At 43.0% G+C, this 11,000-nt stretch overlaps 1 protein-coding gene across 1 annotated transcript; it reads right to left on the bottom strand.

Moving 5' to 3' along the window:
* Positions 1-296: 296 nt before the first annotated feature.
* On the bottom strand, positions 297-1,553 carry LCE7A (late cornified envelope 7A). The gene is made up of 2 exons (NM_001395990.1): positions 1,518-1,553; positions 297-872 (listed from the first exon to the last, which is right to left on the bottom strand). The coding sequence occupies exon 2, from the start codon at positions 849-851 to the stop codon at positions 564-566; it is 288 nt and encodes a 95-aa protein (NP_001382919.1). The 5' UTR covers positions 852-872; positions 1,518-1,553; the 3' UTR covers positions 297-563.
* Positions 1,554-11,000: the final 9,447 nt, after the last annotated feature.

The following is an 11,000-nucleotide window of genomic DNA, read 5'->3' as shown; positions in this document are numbered from 1 at the left end:
GAGATTCTCCCAAATAAGGAGGATCTAGGCAGCAAAATGTCCTCAATAAACAGAAAGAAAACTCTGTGATGGTGTCACCTGCGGCAGCAGCCGTGGAACAGGGTCACTTACATTTTGGAAACTCCCTCTACTCTACCCTTCTGACTCGCTGCTCTTCACAGCCTTCTCAAATAGCTCAGACTCTAGATCTACCTTGGTAGGAATTTCCACCTGGCTGGCACCTTGTGGGAGTCTGCTTAAATAATTCAGATTAATGTGAGCTTTTCAGAGCTGAGGATGGAGTATCGACAAACATATAGGGCACCAGGAAAGATAAGCTTTATTTTAGCACACAGATCAGGCTTCAAAAAGCAGGTTTTTCTTTTGCATGCAGGTCTCCTTGATCTAGGAACACAGCCAAGGCCAAGAGGCCTGAGGTTCTCAGCAAAAGGGGGAGCCCATCACCTATGGAGCTAGGCAGCTGAGTTCAGGAGGAGAAGGAAGGAGGAGGGTAAGAGTGAGGGAAGACATCAACTCAGGGCGGGTCCTTGGCTGTGGTTCTTTGGTTCCTCAAAGGTCACAGGTCAGCTGCAGTCTCCAGAGCTATAGCAAGTGGAACATCTAGAAGACTCGTGCTCACAGCAGTCAGAATGCTGGGGCTGACGCAGGTAGAATCGTGGAAACCGGAGTGAAACTAGAGAGCAGTGGCCTCCAAAGCCAGAAATACAGCAACTGGAAACACAGCAGGAGGGAGCTGGAGGGGGGCATGGAGCTGGACATGAAGCAGGAGCCTGAGGGGTCCACTTGGATGGATATTTGGGGAGGCACTTGGCAGGGAGCTGCCATTTCTGCTGGTGTTTCTGATAGGACATCTTGGAGAAAGTCCAGTTACTCTAAAAAACAATGCAAACATTTCAAAAGTCTAATTAATGTAAACCTTGTTTGTATCAACATTTTTCTACAGAGCCCGAAATTCTACAGTTGAATATGTGGCTCCAGAAGCCACATCATAATAGCAGAGCAGCCCTGCTTTCCTGACATAGGAGAGATTCAGCAGTGAGTAAGTTAGAGTCTGGTGACATCTTCTCTTGTGCCTGGCCTGATTCTCTCAAGACTCCTGACTTCAAAGGCAGTTGCTTAGGGCACTATGTAGTCCCCCAAATCTTCACTTACTTATTATCCTATCTTCTAATTTATGCATTCTAAAAACCACATTTTTAACCTGAGTCTATGGTTACGTCACCTCTCATCATCATCTCCCTTTTTTTCTTTCTTGCATCATGAGCTGTACCTTTAGCCCTACTCTTCAGCCCTGCGTGGCTGTCTCTTGCCCTACAAACACTTGCACTGCCCCAGTCTCTGGTTAACTTCACTCCTTCTGGGTTTGCTGCTTCTGAACCACCTCGATGATTGCCATGAGCCTGGTCTTCCTGGAATTATCAATTTCCATTCTCTCCAACTTTGAATGGCTTTTCCAAAAGGAGGTGTAGCAGCCCTAGTCATCCCCAAACTGCCATCAGATCAGTAAAAACACTCACCTTGTCCTCTTAACCCTGGGCAAACGATGGGACTACGGATAGATACACTGTGAGCGGGAGCCTTTTATACACACACTGCATTCAACTAGAGAGAATGAGCCACAGATGATGTGAAAACTGTTTCCCAACCAGGTGGTTGTGATGTCAACTTCCCACATTCCAGTGGCTCTGTCATTCTGTCACTTTGTCACCCTGTGTCACTAACAGATCCCCCAGAGCATCCTTCCCCTTCATAAACTCTCACAGGATTTCCATAAAGATTAGAAGATCATGACTTAGAAGGGTATTTATAATGACATAGCTTGGGAATTGAAATTAGGGTTTCTGGAGGAATCCAAAACATGACTGGGCATCTAAAGTCACAGATGTTAGATCAACACAGGCACTGATCGGGGTTTCTGCAGGCATTATCAATAAGATGGGAACCAATAATCTAAGCACACATGGGCCAATACTGAGGGCTCAGTGTATTTGATTCAGATACCAAAGTGCCTAAAATATTGATCAACCATGTGGCATCATAGAAAGTCCCAGCTGCAAGCGGATTTAGGATACTTCCACTCTACGTAGGTCAGGAACATATGGCCAGAGGGGGCAATGGAGACCTCAAAGTTGTGCAGAGTCTGAACTAGAAACCATATCTTCTAACTCTCTGAGATCATCAATTCAGGCCCCCATTTCACAGCAGCCCCTTCTTTTGGATTTGCTTGGGTACATCCACTAGGATCTAGTCTCTCCCCTGCCCACAAGCTCCCTCCTTTTTTCATGCCACTCCCCACCCAGTTCACTTTTCTTAGTTCATTGTTTCAACTACTCTTTTGCCAATATAATAAACTTTCTTTTGTTACCCATTTGGCTTGTCACTGCATTTGACTGGCAAAGCCTTATCCCTGGCTGAATTCTCCCTGTTGTGCCTAGTTGCTATAAAAATGAAAACAAAAATAGACATTTTGGCAGGATGACACCATCATAAAATCACCATCATCCACCTTGGCTGGTCCAAAACATGGCTTGGTGATCCCCGTATACCTCCCTGTATTCACCATGCACATACCTCATGGCTTTTCTCCTCCCTTGAATCTTCCAAACCTTCACTACTGCCTCTAGATAGATGGTACTGCCTCTACCATATGGAGCAAAGAGTTCCTGTCAAACATAAAGCACTTCCGCTTCCTTCTCCTAAGTCTTCAAGCTCACTTACATCTGCAGCCATCCTTCATGACTTCCTGTGTTACAGGGGAGGAGTGGCCCCTTGTCTTTTCCAACACCTATCCCTAGCCCTTTTCTCTGGATCCTTGCACCTTCAATCTCAATTGTATTGTTTCTCCTATGAAATGCTCCCATGGCACCTTGTATTTCTGGTAACACTTGCTTGTATTTGTTTTTCAATATCTGTCGTCCTGGATAGAATGAAATCTCAGTGTTCATGGGTTCACTCTTTATCTCCAGCACCTACACAGAATCTGACATAATGTAAGTGCTCAAAAGTATTTGTTTAATGAGTTAATGGGTGATCTGTGGTTGAGGCAAAGGTCTCCCCTCCTTTCACTCCTTGAGAGAGAGTAGCCTGGGAGGCCAGGTCAGTGGCAGGCCTGTGGGGCAGGTGTGGGAAGCTGCTCCAGGGATGGAGTCAGCAGCAGGAGCTTTGCACTGTGAGTCAGTGCTCTGGTCCCTGCTCTGCTGCTCTTTCTGGGTTTCAGGAGAGGCTGGACCAGATTATCTTAGGTATATCTTCAAGTAGGTATTTTTATTTATGAGCCTCAGAACTCCACGGAGCTTACACTCAGCACAGGTCTGATCTTGTCCCTGAATATATTTTATCTGGGATTGGAAGTGGCAGTGAACTTGATGAAGAGGGTGGAGATGATGGCTGGAATGTTGACTATGCCAGGGTGTGAGATAGTTGAAAGTAAGTCACATTATGAGGGAGGAACTCCATACAGTCTATTCAGTTTCTCCCACTTATCAGAGGAAATGACTTAACATCTTGCCTTGTTGTGCCAAAGCAGAGTATAGTGTATATATGTGGTTCTCTTCTGGTTGTGCCTCTTCTGGCTCTTCTTCTGAGCCACTGAAGCCCAGATCTGTAGAGATAGGCAAAATGATGCTCTTTCCCTGTGATATTTCTGACAAAAAGTATTACAAGTATATTTAAAAAGGTTGGAAAACACCATTTTATTGTGTTGGTCTAATACCCATCAATGACCTTCTGGTTCAATAATGAAGAATTATTTATGTCCACAGAAACTCCTTTTTTGTAGTAACTTTTCAAATGCTACTTTAAAGATGTTAATTCATTTGTTGAGTGCCTGATACTTGCAGAGTTTTGTGAATTCAAAGAAAATTAAGATATTTTCTTGTCCTTAGAGAATGGTCCAAGTGAGATAATATGAGAGAAAGAAAGGGAATTAATATTTATTCTTTAAATATGTTATTTGAATTATCATAGTATAATAGCTTTATGGGTGTCTTTTTGTTAATCTCATTTTACAGAAAAAGTAAGGCTCCTGGCTCACACCTGTAGTCCCAGCACCTTGGGAGGCTGAGGCGGGCAGATCACCTGAGGTCAGGAGTTCGAGACAACGTGGCCAACATGGCAAAACCCTGTCTCTATTAAACGTACAAAAATTAGCCAGACATAGTGACAGGCACCTGTAATCCCAGCTACTTGGGAGGCTGAAGCAGGAAAATCACTTGAACCTGGGAAGTGGAGGATGCGGTGAGCCAAGATAGCTCCACTGCACTCTAGCTTAGGCAACAGAGTGAGACTCTGTCTCAAAAAAAAAAAAGGGGAGGCTCAGAAACATTATATAACATACCTATGTCTCAAGTGCCAATGCCCTGATTCTGGGTTGCATACTCTTCCAGCTTGTATGCTGTGTAAAAACATGAAGCCAATGCAGTAGGCAATGGTGGAGGCATGGAGGGAGGGCTGGAGAGTGCACAAAGGCAGAAATTTGTACTGTCTGGGACTACATCTCTTGGAAGAGGTTACATTTGGAAGATCAGTGGGAGTTAATCAGGGAGTGAAGGGGAAATTGGCATTCTAAGTAAACGGAAGAAGAATTGACAAAGGCACAGAGATGTGGATGAGCTTGGTTTGTTCTGGAAACAGATAGTGGCCATAATATTGGGTGTATAAGAACCAGAGGTGGGATGTTTGCTGGACAGAAAGGAAGGACAGGCCCAAAACATTAAAAGCTTTACTTGATGCATTGTGTGATTTTAGCATACATTTATGGCTTCCAAATTATATTTCCTAAAATGCTGTTGCCAAGGATGCTCGACCGTCATCTCTTTTGAGAGCCTCCAGACAACATGAGTTTCTCTGCCTTTGTGCACTCTCTAGCCCTCCCTCCATGCCTCCACCATAGACTATTGCATCTGCTTCATGTCTTTACATGGCATACAATCTGGGAGAATATGGGTCTCAGAATCAGGGCATTGGCATTTGAGCTGTATGTTATTTAACATTTTTTGAGCTTCATTTAAAAAATCTAAAAAATGGGATTATCAATAAGAAACTCATAGAGCTATTGTAATGTGGTAATGCAATTAACATGTTTGATGGATAGGATGTTGAGAATAAATTTTAATTCCCATCTCATTAATATGAGGGTTCCAGAAATTTGAGCTCCACTTAAAAATACCATTAATCCTTGACTATTTAGGCTGCCTGGGAAGGAGACCCTGAGCAGACAACAGTGGGGGCCTTGTACCTACCCCCTGCTGCAATCAAAGTAATTATACCTTTACCTTCTTTATATATTGGAAGCATACATATGATTTAATGTGAAAACAGGGTGATTCTGCTTTTAAAAGTTTGACCAGAGACAACTGGACATCCCTGATCATTTAAACAAGGGAGAAGTATGATCAGATTTACATTTTAAAAAGATTACTAGGATAAGGTGGTCTTAGTTGTTTTGATTTGGTTATCTACAAAGCTGAAGCCTATGGTGAATGACCAGCCTGATGGTTTAATGAGGATCAGAGATGGACTTGGGGGAGGAGCTTCGTTAATCAGCTTCTAGAAAAGGGGAATTGCTGGAAGATGACTGGAAGATCTTTGCTTGGCCTAGGCCATCTGGGCATAGCTGGTGCATTCCTGGACTCCACTCTCATCTGCCCATGCACTTCCTCACCATCCTGCCTGCCTGAAGATTCAAGAATGTTAAGGATTCCCATCTGGCTTGGGTGTGCCCCTTAATAAAACGGTGAGGTACCAGCCAAGCTAGCATTGGCATGCATGAGATTCTTATCAAGCTAATTCCCAAGTGATGAGAGAAAGGAAAACAAGGATTATCCTTCTGCCTGAGCAATCAACCCCTTGAACAGTCCTCCTGTGGGCCAGAATCTCTGTGGGCAGGGAGCATATGTGGGTCTGATTGGCAAACCACACTAGGAGAGGATTTATGGTCCTCCCAAGGATGATGGGATTCATAACAGGGCCACTGAGGGACCAATGCTGCTTGTGTTTCTCTTGGAGCACAGAAAATAGTGATGACCCATGATCAATGACCTGCCTCATGGTTCTGTGCCCATCTGAATTAGTGGGTAGAAGAAAGGGACAATAACTATTCAGCATAACATATTCTCATCACCTTTATTAGGTGGCCTTAAAACAGGCACTCCATTCTATCTGTTTAGTGTGAACTAGAGAGGTAGGCCCATCATGTATAATATGGTGGTTAAAAGAATTACTGTGAGAAAAGAAACCAACACAGTGCCCAGCAATTAACTGATATTCCATAAGCTGCAGTTACAACTATAAGCATTATTATTACAGTCCCAGTTATTCTCCAGATGCTGAGCTCTATTCCTTTAGGATGGGGGATGCACACCAATATCATCTCGTACCAGTGTTGTGGCCCCTCTTTTCCCTAATATCTCCAGCTGTAGAAAACTCCCTTGGAAAGAAGCAGCAGGTCATCCCTGGAGCACAAGCCTAGTCCTGACTCTGACCAGCTATGAGCCACTTGCCTCTTCTGGGCCTCAGTCTCTTCATTTGTAAAATGAGTATTGTTGCTTTCATCTTGATCACTAAGGTAATTATGAGATCTCTGTGCTTGTGGTTGCTCTAGACCATATTAGAGCCTGGGTGACTCCCTGATTTATTGTCTCCGATAGCTTCGCCAATCCTTCTCCTATGTAACACATGGAACGATGCCCTCTTTGGATCCTAGGCCCTGCCCTGGCTTCTTGGTTGACTTTGGTGAATGGAGCAATAGCTAAAACACCTTATCAGGAGCCTGTATTTACACATGTCACCATCAAGTGATGCCTGTTAATCCTAAAATAGGAAGGGATGAAGAGTGATCATCTTGCCTATCATTTTCCTCCAGACCCAAGAATATATTTTTAAATAAGAATATATTTCTAAAATCCCAAGAATATGTTTCTGAATCTTCTAAGAAAGGAGACTCCACTGCCTACAATGACAGAGCTTTCTGACTCCTGTGAAACTTCATGTCTTTTTGCTGATGTTAAAGATGAATTCTACCAACTAAGGTGAGCAGAACAGATCTTTGGCTCCACCGCCCTCCTATTCTTGGAAACAGTTGTTCTGATGATATCTCTGGCTCATCACAACTCCATGCCTTTGATCTCTCCATCATTTTCTCCACTGTGCCTAAAGGAGATAACCCAGCTGGACTGTATCTCTCATCCTGCAATTAACACATCTTAAGAGAAAGGTAGGGAAGATGAATCCCTCTTATCACCACCCTTCACCTCAAAGCCTGTTTTCAGTAGTGTTTTTACCTAGGAAAGCCACTACAAAACTCTTAAGGGCATGGGGGGACACATTAAGAAGCATTAGGCAAGTTGCTCAATCTTTCTGGAGCCCACACCTTCACCTGTGACACCAAGACCCCGTGTTCCATCACTCTGTGAGCCTGTAGTTCTAAACCATTCATTCTTTTAGTGATGGTGGTCACACAAGGGAAGCCCCTCACATCCCTCCATGCATTGCATTTCACATGCTTTGTAATACGTTGTATTACATTTCACATGCTTTGTAATGCATTGTATTGCATTTCACATGCTTTATTTTCTCTTCTTAACAACCTTGAGAGTTTGTTATTATTGCATCTAGAAAAACTGAATACTGGACAGTTAAAAGTAAGTGCATATCACACAGTCTGTAAGGGTGCAGAGCAATAAGGCAAGCCCGGCAAAGAACTGCGCAAAGCAAGGAAGCTGTCCTGGACTCTCAGTGCTGTTGTAGATCAAGAATTGCAAACCTGGTTGGGAACATGAGCCATCTTGGAAGTACTTTTAAAATGCAGATCCCGGCCAGGTGTGGTGTCTCACGCCTGTAATCCAAACACTTTGGTTGGCCAAGGCAGGGAAATCACAAGGTCAGGAGATTGAAACTATCCTGGCCAACATGGAGAAACCCCATCACTACTAAAAATACAAAAATTAGCTGGGTGTGGTGGTACGCGCCTGTAATCCCAGCTACTCGGGAGGCTGAGGCAGGAGAATGGCTTGAACCCAGGAGGTGGAGATTGAAGTGAGCCGAGATAGTGCCACTGCACTCCAGCCGCCTGGTGACAAAGCGAGATTCTGTCAAAATAATAATAATAATAATAATAAAATAAATGAATAAAAAATAAAAGAAGCAGACACCTGGTCTCTAACTAAGACCTACTGAATCATAATCTCCAAGGAGTGGGTCTTTATGATTTACATTGGTTAACTATTTCCCAGGTTATTCTACCTAGTTTGGTAGCCACTGTCCTGGCATGTTCTGGTAGAACCGTAGAACTATAGCCAGCCCATGAAACATTCTGGTAACAACATTTTCACAGTCCTACCACCTTCCTCTGAGCTCCTCTAGGGATCTTCCTAGGAAATTGAAAGATGCAGGAAGCATAGTAAACTCACAAACTTATTTAGCCTTGCAGAGGCCTTAGAAAGAATGTAGTGTGGTTTTCCACCAGGAGCTTGTATCTCCTCACCCACATGCCTAGTGGTGAGCTTCCTGGCCTAAATGAAAATGCTTTTAGTTGGAGAACTCATTACCTCACAAGGCAGTCCATTTCTTTCCACATTGTTATCTTTGTTAGAAATTTTTCTCCAATAAAATAGGAACACTTTTACACAGTTGGTGAGACTGTAAACTAGTTCAACCATTGTGGAAGACCGTGTGGCAATTCCTCAAGGATCTAGAACTAGAAATACCATTTGACCCAGCCATCCCATTACTGGGTATATACCCAAAGGATTATAAGTCATGCTGCTGTAAAGACACATGCACACGTATGTTTATTGCGGCACTATTCACAATAGCAAGGACTTGGAACCAACCCAAATGTCCATCAATAATAGACTGGATTAAGAAAATGTGGTACATATACACCATGGAAAACTATGCAGCCATAAAAAAGGATGAGTCCATGTCCTTTGTGGGGACATGGATGAAGCTGGAAACCATCATTCTGAGCAAACTATCACAAGAACAGAAAACCAAACACCGCATGTTCTCACTCATAGGTGGGAGTTGAACTATGAGAACACTTGGACACAGGGTGGGGAACACCACACACTGGGGCCTGTCATGGGGTTGGGGGAGTGGGGAGGGATAGCATTAGGAGGTATACCTAATGTAAATGACGAGTTAATGGGTGCAGCACACCAACATGGCACATGTATACATATGTAACAAACCTGCACGTTGTACACATGTACCCTAGAACTTAAAGTATAATAAAAAAAAGAAATTTTTCTCCAAAAAATGCATAAGATCAGATCATAAAGAGGTAATCACTATAATACCTAAATAAAGCAGTTCTTTACATATAGCTGGTACTTACTAGGGGTTCATTGAATGATTGAGTTAATTACAAATAAAATATTTCAGTGGGCTTGGTTATAGGCCTTCATTTTAGAAACAAGAGTTGGAGGTTCACAGAAGTCACCTTACTTAATCCACAAAGTTAAAATAGTGTCAGAATCAAGACTAAACCTAGGGTTGATTAAGTTCCAACCCAGTGTTTATGACTAGGGGTGGATGGAGGAGGAGCAGGGATGCAAGGTAGCAAGAGGAGAGCATGCCCATCCAGCACTACACTTCTGGGAGCACAGCATCACACTTCTGGGAGCACAGCATAGCAGCTCAGTGTTTAGTGTTGGTAGCCAGATTTCCTAACTTCAAGCCTAGGTTTCGTCACTTACTGGTTGTAAACTTTAGGCTTGTCACTTGACATCTCTGCCTTAGTTGCTGGTCTGTAAAATGGTGATAACATCTCCTTCATAGAGGTGTTGTGAGAATTAAATAAGTAATATGAGTAGAGTGCTTAGAAGAGTACTTGGTACGTAGTAAGCACTATATAAATACAGATTGTTGCTGTTCTTCTTCTTCTTATTATTATTATCATTTGTTTAGCTCAGTGTCCCTCAATGATGGGGGCCTATCTCTTTATTTCTCCCATGATTTATGAATACCCATGAATGCCAAGAGAGCATGTTGGTGACTAAGCAAAGCTGGTTTCACAACACTCTCCCTAATCCACTCTCAGGACCACTTCCATTTCTTATAAAAAATCACCCCAAGTCACATATAGATTGGGGCTGCAGCCATGACAATGGATACTGACATGGATTGGGCAAGGATTCAAGGTTGGAGTCTTACACTTGGGGAACCATTTTCACATATCAGGCTTATTGTATAAAGCCATAATAGGGAAAGTTTCCTAAAATATTTACCTGTAGGCTGTGAGAACAAACTGGACATTAGAGAAGCCATTAGAGTTAGTCCTTGGTCTAGGCAGGGGCTGAGTTCTCATTAGATTCAGGGTGCCTCGATCATTTCTACTCCTCCAGCAATCAAAGCAGGGCAGAGAGATTCTGACAGAGATAAGGATGTAACTCCAGGACTGACTATTAGAAAGATAAGGAGGCACCTCTAGGTCCATGTAGGGAGGGCATATTGGAGCTCAGAGGAGGAGGATTGGGGCCAGTGAGAAACAAGGACTTGAGAGAACTGGCAGAGCTGCTAGAGAGAGAAGAGTTATAGACTCTGTGTGTGCGTGCATGCATGCGTGTGTGTATGTGTGTGTGTGTATGTAAAAGGTGTAGGTGGTATTGAAATCTTCCCTGGCTAGATGTTAGATGATATCTGTGAAGGGTGGTGAATGAAGTAGCAAGAAACACATTTAGTTAGGGCTCTTTTATCTTATTTGGACATCATTTTATGCTAGAGTGATGCATTAAGTTTTTTATTGTCCACATTTCACAGATGGGTAAATTATGTATCTTGTAAGCCAAGCTATGGTTGGCCTGAGAGACCTTCTGCTTTTAGGCATCTGCATTTTTGCTTCCTTGTATTCTTGGTATACCCTTTCTGCCATATCATGAATAACATTCTGTTTCAATGTACTGTGTGTTTTTCAATGGGAGACAAAGCAGTATGGGTTTGTCAACCATCTGTGTATTTGTTGTAAGAGTGTTGTTAAGCGTCTTGCTGACTATTGCAAA

This window comes from Homo sapiens, chromosome 1 (genome assembly GCF_000001405.40).
Source record: "Homo sapiens chromosome 1, GRCh38.p14 Primary Assembly".
Lineage (NCBI taxonomy): Eukaryota > Metazoa > Chordata > Mammalia > Primates > Hominidae > Homo > Homo sapiens.
The sequence above is the reverse complement of the archived record's forward strand: the minus strand, read 5'-3'. Positions and strand labels throughout refer to the sequence as shown.

Bases quoted from the DNA above. Each gene is read 5' to 3' on its own strand.
- LCE7A (NM_001395990.1), bottom strand. From the start codon at position 851: ATGTCCTATCAGAAACACCAGCAGAAATGGCAGCTCCCTGCCAAGTGC.